The sequence below is a fragment of the Homo sapiens genome, chromosome 13, assembly GCF_000001405.40.
Source record: "Homo sapiens chromosome 13, GRCh38.p14 Primary Assembly".
In the NCBI taxonomy this organism is placed as follows: domain Eukaryota; kingdom Metazoa; phylum Chordata; class Mammalia; order Primates; family Hominidae; genus Homo; species Homo sapiens.
Window position 1 is genome coordinate 102,268,610 of NC_000013.11, and position 13,200 is coordinate 102,281,809.

General features: G+C 35.9%; 1 protein-coding gene and 1 long non-coding RNA gene across 23 annotated transcripts in view; one reads left to right on the forward strand and one right to left on the reverse strand.

Annotated features, from left to right (window-relative positions):
• The window catches only part of FGF14 (fibroblast growth factor 14), a 691,640-nt gene that overhangs the window by 557,806 nt on the left and 120,634 nt on the right, over positions 1-13,200 (reverse strand). The window lies entirely within an intron of this gene.
• Positions 9,679-13,200, forward strand: part of LOC107984615 (uncharacterized) — a 34,537-nt gene continuing 31,015 nt past the window's right edge. The window contains exon 1 of one of the 2 annotated variants that reach the window (XR_007063856.1): positions 9,679-9,790. This is a non-coding gene — a long non-coding RNA (uncharacterized LOC107984615). The remainder of the gene's footprint in view (positions 9,791-13,200) is intronic. The other variant, XR_001750082.3, reaches the window with a different exon arrangement.

Consider the following 13,200-nt stretch of genomic DNA (forward strand, 5'->3'; position numbering starts at 1 on the left):
ACTTCTCATTTCTGACCTGTTATATTTTAATTTTATATGATGATGGTGTTTTTATAATTTAAATCATATAAATCAAAACTTAATAAAGACTACAGATGTTACCTGGAAATTTCTAGTCAAAAATTTAATCCTTTAAGTTAAATCACTAAAATACATGAGGGGAAAACATGTTATATTATTCAAATAGAAATAAATTAACAAAAAATATTTCCATCAAAAGACTGACTAATCTTTTGATAAGTTTAATGATAAACTCACCATGGCAACCAATTTTATCTGCCTCTATAACAAGAAGATCATTCAATAGGTTACTGAGAAGATAGAGATGTTATTTATGCTGGCAAAATAATATTTAGCTTGTGTACCATATCACCTAACAATTAGCAATCTGGAGAGATACAACTTTCTTACTAAATGGTGAAGTAACATTCAACTGAGAAAAACATAATTCAAGCTTAATGTTTGGGTGATACAGAAAAATGTGGTCTGAAACAGGCAGTGAATGACTTGTTTGGCACAAATATTGGAAAAGTGAAAAACAGTTCATCAGGAAAACCAAAAGCCACTAAGTCCTAGGTGGAGACCAACTGGACATATGCAAATTCAACAGTCAAGGCAATTTCTGCTAATATATCACAAATTTCACAATCAGCAATAGACTACAATTGTAAAACAAAGTTCTTCGTGTTAACTCTGAAAGTGTCTGTCAGCATGGATAGCACAGGCAGATTGGGGAAGACCATAAAAAGCATAATTCTGCTTTTAATTTTAGGTGAGCTATTATATAAAGAATGGTGATAACTGTTTGTCATCTCTTATAAAAACAGTATTAAGAAAAATTATATGACAGAATTTTATTCAGATGTAAGTAGGGATGTGGTGAATTTCTGAGGCATTAAATTATCAGCCTGGCAATCTTTATTTTATTTTGTATTTTATTTTATTATATTTTATTGTATTTTAGGGATGGAGTCTCAATATGTTGCTCAAGCTTGCCTTGAACTCCTGGGTTCCAGTGATCTTCCTGTCTCCGCCTCCTGAGTAGCTAGGACTGCCAGGCATGTGCCATCACACCCAGCTCCACCCTGGCAATCTTTAACACAAGTTGATGGAAGTCAGATGTGGTGGCACATACCTGTAATCCCCGCTACTCGGGAGAATGAGGCAGGGGGATTGCTTGAGCCTAGGAGTTCAAGGCCAGCCTGGGCAACACAATGAGACTCACCCTTTCAAAAAAAAAAATCAGAAACTAGTGCATAGATACCATCTGTTTGGAAGGCCTGGTTAAGATGGTGTCCACAAGCTAGAGGCCTGACCAGGAGCTTTGCATCTCACCACGCCCGAGTGGAGTTGCTGTTCAAAGGCAGGGACCAGTTTTTTTCCATTATTTCACCAGTACCTAGTACTGTGCCTGAGCAAGTTTAAAAAAATTCTCTGGTCTTAAATGTTTACAATTTAAAATAGAATTAATCTGTTATCTGACAATAAAGTTGTAAAATTTTAAGTAAAATGATGTTATAAAAGTATTACATGCTGCTTCAAGAAAATATGAAACATTCAGGGAAAAAAAAATAAAAGAACCATATTCCTTCACTTAGAAACATCCATATAGTAAATGTCTTTCATCTCTCTCTCTCTCTCTCTGTGTGTCTCTAAGGTATTTCATATATTTTAAGCATAAACATAATTTTTACTCTGATTTTTATTTTATGCTGTATTGGAAGCATTTCCTATGTTACTACACAATTTTAATAAATCATATTTCAAAATCTGTATCATATTACATGAAATGACTTTACCACTGAATCTCAAAACATTTCTCTATAGATAGAAATTTCAGCTGTTTTCATTACTGTAACACTTTGCCTACTTAGGTTTGTTTTCTTAGGATAGATTCTCAGAAACAGAATTACTTACCAAATATATAAAAGCTTTTAAGGATCTTTACACATATTGTCAACCTGCTTGCCAAGAATTTACTTCTGTAAACAATATAAGTTGAATTTCACTTACATGCTTTGAACTGTAAGTGAGCATAAATATATAGACATATAGACATATATATTGTACATTGCATTGTATTTTATGTCTGGGTATTTGTTTTTCCTTCTTGCTGAATTGTCTGTTCAAGCTGTTTGTCATTTATTTGTTTGTCTTAATGTTTTTCTTATTGATTATTATGAATTCATGATAGAGTAAATATATTAGTCCTTTGTCATGTTTGTAGCAACTGGTGTTTGGGTATATATTCTGTGTAAAGTGCTTTCAAAATTTGTTGTCAGATAAATTTGATTTAATGCAAGTATCATTGTTACCACTGAATAAATGCATTAAAGTATTATTTCCTTGCTTATGCTGTTTGCTGAAAGAAATGAATGCATGAACATTTATACAATAAGCAGTTAACATGGTTTTAAAAGGACACAGTTTCTGTATTCATATTAGCTAGTTACTCCACATGCTCTACAGAGATATTATTAGTTTCATCTTGCTATGTGAAGGAGTGATTTAGTCAATTACCCTTGGTTTTGTGGTAAATACTTATCAGAATTAATATTACGATATACAGTTTTTGGTTAATTTGGTGTCTAGTGAAATTTTTCTTGAAATTAAATTCTGAATCTTTGCCAAATTTTTAACAATTTTTATATCTCATATTGGTTTGCCAGTTCCCCAGCACGCCTTCCTGCAAAATAAAACTCCATCATACTCATTCTTCTCTTCACCATTCTGTCTCGTCCATTTGCCGTGTTCCAGTCACAGCCATTCATGTAATTTTCTCTAAATACTCCATGAACATTTATAACTCTGAGCCACGCACCTCCATTTTCTGTCCAGAGTGCATTTCTTCCCATTTCTCAACATACCAAACTCCAACCCATCATCAATGGAAGCTAAAATCAAATATTATTTCTCCCACGAATTCTTTTGGAAAGCCCCAGATGAGTGAGCTCCTTTGAGTACTCGTTCCATCTATTTAGGTTCACTGGAGTTAATATCACGTTGTGTTTCATTAATTTTCATATGTCCATTTTCCCTACAAAACTATAAGTTTAAATTCCAAATAACTAGTACAGTGTCTGGGTCTGCAATAAATGTTATGAATGACAATCGCTATCATCGAGCACTTTTGGATGTCTGTCTGATGTGTGGTCAAGTAGACAGCATGGCACAAAAATAATTCCAAAAATTTAATCTGAATCTTTCCTCTTCTTTCCACCCTGGCTCCCACCTCTGTAGACCAGGTCACCGTCGTTTCTCACATGGGCCACGTTGGTAGCCTCCTAACCTAAGTCTCTGCTTCTTCCTTTGCCCCAACCCAATAGTCTATTCTCTAGTGAGGACTCAGAAGAATCTTTTTGAAACATACATGTGATCTGTCTCTCCTCTGCAATGGCTTCCAGTTGCAAAAAAAGTAATACTCAGACTCCTTAGCCTGTCCAGCTGCTCTCCACACACCAACCCTGGCCGAATTTTTTGATTCCCTCCACTTTGCCAACAGTCTCCAGCCACTCTGACATTTTTTCTTTTCCTCAAACACCCCTTAGGTTTTCAGTGCTGTAGCCTTTTTACCGACAGTTCCCTCCCCATTTTCCCTCTTTCACTTTCTTGGCTTGCTTTTTATTATCATGAAATTTGAGTTTAAATATCACAAACGCAGAGAAGCTTTCCCGGACAACTCATTCTAATAAACCCCTTTGTCTTTTAATCATTTCACTCTATGTTACTTCATGCATTTCTTACTCTTTGTTTATTTGACTTTTTTGCTTAAAAATTATGATTACTTGTATCTCACCATTGAATGTAAGCTTTAGGATAGAAGATACCTTGTCCATAATTTATTTCACCCTTGTAAGTCCAGTACTTGGCACAAAGCAGGTGCAAAGTAAATATTCCTAAATGTGGATATGGTGATGGCAGGAACGGTAGTAATAATATCTAACATTTATTAAATGACTACGGCACACAAGGTCCTGTCCTAAATACTGCATATGTGTTAATTTATTTATTTTAAATAAAAATGCATACCCAGATGAAACTCTGCAGTAGAAATGGTAGTCATTGTCATTATCCCAATTTTACAGATAGGAAAACTGAGACACAAAGCTGTGAAATAACTAGCCCAAGATCGTATAGATATTGAGTGATATATCTATATATATCTATATATCACTCAATATAGATATTGAGGGCCAGAGTTTGAATTATGTCACACTGACAGGAGACCCAACTGTCTTAACCACTGTACTATGTACATCTCATTTTAAAATAAGGAAAGAAATTCATTGATAAGACTTTTAAAGATAGCTTCAAACGTAGTTTAATTTAATAAACAAATATATCTCATGAGTTCACAGAAGATTTTTTAAAAATAAAGCAGGTTAGGCTGTCATTGTTGATATCATATCCTATGACCTGTCACGAAATAAATAAAAACTAGTTATGTGAGAGCTAATTCCAATGTCTGTCCTTAGAAAAAGGCAAAGACTTTTCCTCTAGTTGAAGGGAATATAAGGGACATCACTACATTGCATTATTTTGAAAAAAAGGTAGCAACGCTGGACATATGGTGTGGTTCAAGCCCGTGCTGAGTAACTTTTGGACAGGGACACTAAAAAATAGACCTAACCTAGTTAATAATAGCAAACCACTGATCCGTCGACTAATCGTGTTTATAGGAAATAGAATTCATGACAAAAAGAAATAGCAGCATGGGACAGAATTAATCCACAACATGTAATTTCCTTCCTGTGCATAGCCTTCACCAAAAGGAAATCTGAAGACTCGCCACCTGTTCAGAGGTTTGCTTTTCAGAAGATTTGGAATGGCCTCCCCTCAAAACGACTCAAGGCATTCATTTATGCCACATGATAAAAATAAGCACTGTGCTTGCTGAAAAGTGAATTTTGTGATCTAAAGAAGAATGAAGTAAAAAATAGTTACATTTTCAAACTTAATTTTAGTAACAGATTGTGTGTGTACTAATATAGAACACCTGAAATGTCATAAGCAGAAATTAGTGATTTTTATTATTTTTTAACTGATCAAGCTGTTTTCCTAATTTATAGTAAATGCTTTTCCACCTCTTAAAAATCTTTAATTTCTTTTCTCTTTCTACAGGTCCAGGAGTTTAGGACCAGCCTGGCAACATAGTGAGACTCCAGCTAATAATACAAAAATTAGCAGGGCATGGTGGTGAGTGCCTGTAGTCTCAACTACTTAAAAGGCTGAGGTGGGAGAATTGCTTGAGCCCTGGAGTTCAAGGCTGCAGTGAACCGTGATTGCACCACTCTACTCCAACCTGGGAGACAGAGCAAGAGCAAGACCCTGTCTCAAAAAAAAAAAAAAGGAAGAAAGAAGTCTCAAAAATGAAAGAGAGAGAGAAAAGAGAAAGGGAAGGAAGGGAAGGGGAAAAGAAAAGAAAAAAGAAACTGACAGCAATAGTAGTCACCTTGAGGGGTTTGTTGAGAGCTGTAGATATCATGTGGAAAACTGCTGGCACGTAGCAAATGTTCTATCGTGGATCTGCCATTGCCACTATCCCTTGCCTGTGCCTGGCTAGCTACACATGGGGCTCCCACCGCATTCTGCAATTCCCTGTATCATTCATTCTCTTCAAACATGCTTTTTGGATACTTAATACAATAACATCACTGAATCCCACAGTGAATCCCACCTTGGGGCACCTATACCTCTGAGTGTCGGAAAGATTTTGATTTTTTTAAGTTCCATAAGGAATGCTGCATGTATCTGTGGCAACATTGTACAAACTAAAATGTCAAGTTGCTTTCTAATGGATCTGGAATTTTATTAGTTATTTATTTGTCCCCTACCCCCACCCACACAAACCCATATTTTAATATTCATGAAAGCAAGGATGCTGTCTCTTTGGATTTTGAATGCTGTGTCCAGCAAAATGCAGGTTGCAGGTGATGAATAAACAAGAAGAATGAAATGCCAATTTTATAAAATGTTGCTCAGAAGTTCTGATTAACACTCATATATATAATATATTTTTTAAAGAATGCAGCTTGTTTAGAATGTTAAAAGCCTGTCAAACAAGGGGTTCAAACCCACACATACACACATACACATACATACTAAAAGAAGCCATTGGCCCTTGGTGGAAGAAATATTGAAAACCAATGATTTAACCCATATTCTGGTTATGTCTGACTTGGAGTATTCTGTCTTTGATCCTCAGATATGGAATGTAGAAACCATGCCCATATATCTTGTAACCAATGTAGAGTTTTAGTTTTGTTTTTACTCGTCATTATTTAATAAATAATAAATAATTATTTATTAAATAATGACGAGTAAAATAGCATTTTACTCGTAATAGCATTCAACATGGTAACAGCATTCAACTCATAAGTATCTATAAAATCCAAAATAATTAAATGTATCTTGATTTTCTGTGAACACATCAGGATTGTATTTTGCCTAGGACAGAATCTTAGCACATATTTGAAGCATTTTCTCCTGTATGCATTAAATTATGTCCTATCTTCATAGCAAATGACAGAGATTAACTATTTTCTCTGCATTTTGACCTTGTGGGTAATACTTCCTGTAATGTCCTGCAGAAGCTGCTAATCTGCCAACTGAGATTAGGCAGATTTCTCTCTCTCTCTCTCTCTCTCTCTCTTTCTCTCTCTCTCTCTCTCTCTCTCTGCCACTCTAAAATTCCAAAGGGGTCATATTTGTTTTGGTATTTTTATAAATTAAAAAATATGCCAAAAATATTATCTAATGAAGAATTTAAATCATAACATCTGGACAAGGGGCTATTATATTTTTTTACAACCTCTGAAAATTTGTATTTAAAATAGAATGGATTTCTCTCCTAATCTTTACATCAAACATAACATTTGAAATATTTGAAAAGATGATAAAAATGAATTTGAAAGTAAAGATCCAAGTATTCAGCCATAAAGGCATTCCATTGGGAAATTACTTGCCAATAATCTCAACAGCTGAAATGGATCCTTGCAAAGAACATTAGATATAGAATCGGGATCTCAGACTTTTATGCCTAATAAACTAGATTTCGGAACACAAATAGGACTTCTAAAGTTCTGTCCTGTGAGTAGTGTGAGTCCAAAGGATTCTGGATCCTCCAAGAAAATACTTCTTTCCAATTGTCACCTCTGCTTAGCTTAGACAACTCAGGCTCCAATTTAACTCCCTCTACAATCTTCCCAAGAGTAGCAAAAAGGAACAGTTATTTAAAATGAAACATATATACAAGACAGAATGAGACCACTGACTGATCTCAGCAACATAATAATAAAATAATTGTAATCTTAAATTGAGTTTAAGAGCAATGAACAGTAAAAAAACAAACAAAACAAGCTTCCTTCATACCTACTTCTTGAGCTACTTCTCTACTACTGTAAAGATTAAAGTGGAATTTTACTTTTAGGAAGCATTGTAGAATATGAAATGACTATAAAAGTTAGTAATTCCCTATGAAATGTTTTCAGCAAATTGTTCAGTCTGAGACGTAGTTTTTCCATTAGTTAAGTAGAGACTCAAAGTTGGCCTGAGAATTGCATAATTCTGAGATAATGTAAGTGAAAACCATTGCACAGATGAAATCTCAGTCAACAGTGCTTTTGCCTTAACTACTGAATAATACTAACTAGAGGCTTCTGGAAATCTCTGTCTTCCTAACTTGGAAATACACACACACACACACACACACACACACACGTACGTGTGTGTGTGTGTGTGTGTGTATATATATATATATATATATATATATACACATTATTGGTTCATCATTTCTGAAATCAGAAGCACTTCAGCAAAGATCTCTTGAAATCTCCAAACTACTGACATATTTAGAGTATGGAAACTTTCTTAATGTTCATTGCATCTGACACAGACCATCAAACAGAAATTCTCCAGCTCTGAAAAGATTGTTTGTTCACTGTCAGTTCAAAGAATTATTTTTCCTTTTAAGAAGTTTGAAAGCCTTTGGTGCATTATTCAACTTGCCTACAAAACATGTAAGTGTCACGGTATGCAGTCTTCTTTCTGAAACAGTATAAACAAACTACAAAGAGATGTGTGTTTGAGCCCTAATGTTTTCAGAGAATTTTTTATTTAAGCAACATCTTATGTAAGCAACCAGAAACACAGGAATGATATGTTTAGTTACTATAACAGCATGACATTTTAAAATTGACAGTAAATTATGCAAAGAGTTAGAGATTATGAGGCCTCAGTGTTGCAAACAATAATAGGATAAAGTTACTTTGACTAACTTGGTAGTATGTTCACAGGTATCTGTGCTGATGGTCACCTATCTAAAATTAATGGAGGCCAAGAAGCAAAAGTTATGAAGCTAAGGGTGCTTGCTAAAAGCATGTCAACCTACAAAGATGATGGAAGGATTAATATGTTGCCTAACTTTCATCATTTTAAATTGTAATTCCTTTATCTGTTCAAATATTTTGTAGATTAATTTTATCAACTGCCACATTACTAGAATATGGCCAATTTTACCCACCTTATTTTTAAACAGATGCCAGAGATTGTGGTTGACGAAAATTGTTTTTAGAATGACTATCAAGAAGATCTATTTTAGAAATCACTATTCACTTTATATTCCTATTTAAAACAACTGCAGTGTCTCTTTGTTTTAAATTTGCACATTCCTCATTAATTCTAAAGTTGAGCTTAAGCTGAAAGTTATTCAAAACTTGGAAAACCATGACTCACTGTCCTAAAGGAGAGAATGTCCCCCTCTCAGCTATCTCTGGGAAGTGTGCAGGGCACTCAATGCCCTCCCTCCCAGGCAAGAGCAGCATGCTGGCCCCACCGCGTGCCCACTGGTGTTATGTAGATGATTCCTCATCAGCTTGACTTACCAGCCCAACCTGCAGCCTTTAGACACTATTCCCTTTCCCAGGGGAGGGACCTGGAGGAGCTCCAGGCAGATCGGGAGGCCAGCCCTGGGCTCTGCTCTGCTGCCTCCCATTACCCCGCTGGACAGCATCCCAAGCAGGGGAGGATCCCAGGAGAGGGAAGACTTTTCATAAGCTCAACCATTTACCAGATCTTCTTGAGAAACAGGAAGAAAGCCAACTACTGAACTCTGCTTTTCACACTAATTTTACAGCCATTCAAACCCTTCTCTGCCACATGTTGACATCCATTACAGTGAACCCACAAAAGTGCTCCTGCATTCACTGAGTTCTTAGCCTACTTTTGTAACTGACCTAATTTAATGTGTATTTGTTTATTTACATCCTTAATATCACCATCCAAGTCATTATTACCTGTATTGGACTGCAAATTTTGCACAAATGGGATCATATCTGCTCAATTCACTTTGCAAAATGATTGCCCCAGAATCAAATACAAGCCTTAGAGTACATGCTTTTCTCTTGGGCTGACTGTGGTCTTTGAAGAGCCTCATTAAAGCTGCATTCAAGGTGGGAGCCCACCTACTATTCAACGGAAGTGGCTCTGCTACCAGCTTCCATAATTGAATTCTAATGAAATAACACAAAATGTAGCTAAAATCCTTTAGATGATCCCACTCATATCCATAGCCCATTAAAAGAGGCAATGAGTCACAGGCTAAGGGTTCTGAAGAGTGCCTTTCTTCACATATGACAAAACAATGGAGGCCCAGTGAGGTAAAACGGTTTGTGCAGAATTAGAGCTGACTGGCATCCATCTCCTGAGGCTCAGGGTTGCCCTTCACAGAGGAAGCAGCGGACAAGTTGAAAACTGGAAAGGTGGCTTCAAGCTAAGCGCAAACAATACAGTGGTATGTACTGACATCAGCCATAGCCATTCCTGAAGTTGGTCTTTTATAAACTCATGCATTTCACCATCTGATGAGGTAGATGAAACAGGGGTGATTGAACATAGGTTCAAAATGCATCATTCCTTCTGGAAACAAAATCAAGTTGCTCTAAAACTCAGGCTTTTAGATGTGTGACCCCAAAATGCAAGTGTAAGCAATGTAAGTGTCACTCTACATACATTTTATGTAATATATATATATATATATACATACACACACATACACACACACATACACACTTCATTAAGCTCCAGTGTATGCATTACTCTGAAAAATCCCTCTCTGCTATCATAACGCTCATTTGTTACATTTTAAGATAAATGACTGAAAGCAAACAGCAATTGTGAGACAGGAAATCAAATTCCATCAGATACAGAAGTCTGGTACCATCTGCCGAGGGTGCAATGATGAAGTATAAACACAGAGCGCATTTTGAGCCCTCCATAGTGACCTTGTACAAAAGTGCCCAGGAAACAAAGATGATGTGACACATTTTGCGACTTATATATACCAGCTGGATATAAAAGTCATAAAAAGCAAAGGTGATATTATATATATTTGACATATATGAACTGGATTGTTTTGTTTTAATTTATTTAAATGTTATTTTATGACTATGAAAGTACTGAGAACTAGTGGAAGAAAACTGGACAAATTAAAAATTTAAATTCCCCATAATCCCTCCATCAAGAGATTATTTTGAACATACAGCTATATTTTCTTCCAAACCTCTCTATACTTATGTATGTTTGTATAGATAGATAGATAAATAGATGATAGATTTAATAAGGTTTATACAATGTTTTCATTCTTCTCCCAAGTAATATATTTACATGGAAACATGTTTTATGGAAAACATGGTATTTTGGTAGGTACCATCATACATAAGCTTATCTGTTAACTATTTCTTATTGTTGAAGGTTCAGGTTATTTCTACCTTTTGGCTATTAAACTAACACTACAACTAGCAAAATTTTAACAAAATGCACATTACATTTAATCAATTTAGTTGCCAGGGTTTGCTTCTTCACGTTCCAAATTTGAGTTATATATTATGTGATTGTTTTTAATATATTATTTGTGTCTATTACTTTGTTCCTCATTTTGTATATTGTTGATCACTAATTTGTAATACTAATTCTAGTAAACGTATGCCAGGCACCGTTCTAAGCACTTTCCATATATTTGCACATAGTACAAAATAATGGGCACAGTGCCCAATGCATACTCAATTATATTTTTTCTTTCCTCAGCTTTACTCCCCTTAAAAAAAGTAAGTTAAAAAAAAATTGAACCCTTCTTGGAAACAACACAGTCTAAAAGTCTAAGCTTTATAAACTAACCATTAACATCTTGTTCAGAATAAAACCCTTTGGGAACTCTATTTGAAATACATCTAGGCTCCCCTGGAAAATGCCTGGCCATCAGTTCTCCCTGCTGAATGCACAGATGCCTTCCAAGTCTTCTCCCTAATATTATACAGATTCTTTCCTGCATTTACATCTATTGGAAACAGACTGACTTGGAGACATGCTGCCCAGAGACCAGGCCTAAAGTTATATTCTGTGTATGATTTAATATATTAGGGAGGAAGTTGTATACATAGTAAATAATAATTACAAATATCATTTAAGTATAATGTGGATGCAGTGCTGTAGATATTAAATACAAATTATTTTTCCTTTTTTCACTCAGTTCAAATAACAGTACCTTCTCAGACCACATGCTGCAGGAAAATAGGCAATTATTTCAGCATTATCCAGACATGTCAGCTACTAAAGAATAAATAGCATATTTATCTTTTTAAAATTATGTAGCAGGTTGGAAACAAATGTCATTTTAACAGCTGGTACCAGAGTTTCCCAAAGAGAGAGAACTGCCTTTGTTTAGGAAAATACCTGGAGAGACTGTTTTAAGTGGGGGAGTATGACCCAAGGAAATGTTTTATGTGAAAAACTGCACAACCAACTGATGCTGACTGCTCCATGAGATGCTCATAGAATCTGGAGGGTGGAGAAGATATCAAGAAAGGAGAGAGGGCAAGCCATCAGTGAGAGTGGAGGGGGCAGTGGTCAGCAATGGAACAGGATGTTTGATCATGTGGAAAAGGAGGTCAATTTAAAAAATTCCAGTGTCAGGAATGCAGGACAGCAGCTGAATGAGTGTTTGGTTCTGCAAGGTAAACTGCCTTAGTCACTGCAAACCTTCAGTGAAGCCATTATACACACCAATGCCTTCTTTGAATGGTGGTTTTTGTTTTATTTTGGAGTATGCATGAGATAAAGAAATAAGAACAGCTCCAAGAGCTAAGATTTAACAAACAAACAAACAAGATCTAGAGTTTAATAGGAATATGAAAACAGATCTAGAGTGAACATGAGAACAGGTGCCCCTGGGAAACACCAGAAATCATGGGAAGGACATTGAGCTTCCTACAGAATATAAAGTTGAGAGTTTGGGTCAACTCTGTGTACATTTCAAGGGAACCTAACATCATAGTTCCATGAAGGGATAGATACAATCTCTAGAGGAGGAGTATAAAATAAACAGGATAAAAAGGTGCTTTCCAACGTGCTTGGAGAACTGGACTTAGATTTCATCTATTTCTGCTATTACTTTCTTTTATTCCTTTTTTTCCCCAAGTGCTTGAGTTTCAGTAGTAATATTTTCACAAGGCCAAACATAAAATAATTTTAAGGAATTCTAAATGAAATCAAGCCATTGTTCTGATGAAAAGTAAGATTTTCTTTTTACTGGTTATAAAATAGAGTAGCATCAAAACTGAGTTACCTGTATGCAGGCTCTGAGTAAGCTCAGGAGGTAGTAAGGGCTGTCCCTGAGCCTGTGCTGCCATTGGTCCTTGAATGCTTTTCTGGATTTAGAAATGTCCAGTAAAGAAGAAGCAAGAGTGGCCCTCTCCCTGAAAACTCTATTCATCAGCCCAGCAAAGAGAGGGTATGTCTCATCAATGTTCTAGCATGTTTTGGTCCCACCTCATCTCCCTCCTCACAGTTATCCACTCTTCAAAGCAGAGGAAACAAGCCCCTACCGCTGTCAGTGCTTTGACCTGACTCTACTCCACCATGGTCACCAACAACCTCCTAATGATCAAAACCAGCAATCTTCTCTTCATTTCCATGTCTCCACACTTGCTCCTGAAGTGTAGTCTTGTCATAAAAACTACTCACCTCACCTTGGAATCTTTGACTCTGTTTATCTTACGTATTCCACTATTGCTCTGATCCTAACTTCTTTTTTTTTTTTTTTTTTAAGTTCAGAGGTACAAGTTCAGGGGTACTGAAATGACTTCCAAAAACATTTCTCCAGATTTCTCATCTCTCCCAGCTTCAAGCCTCTATTTCCAAAAGCAT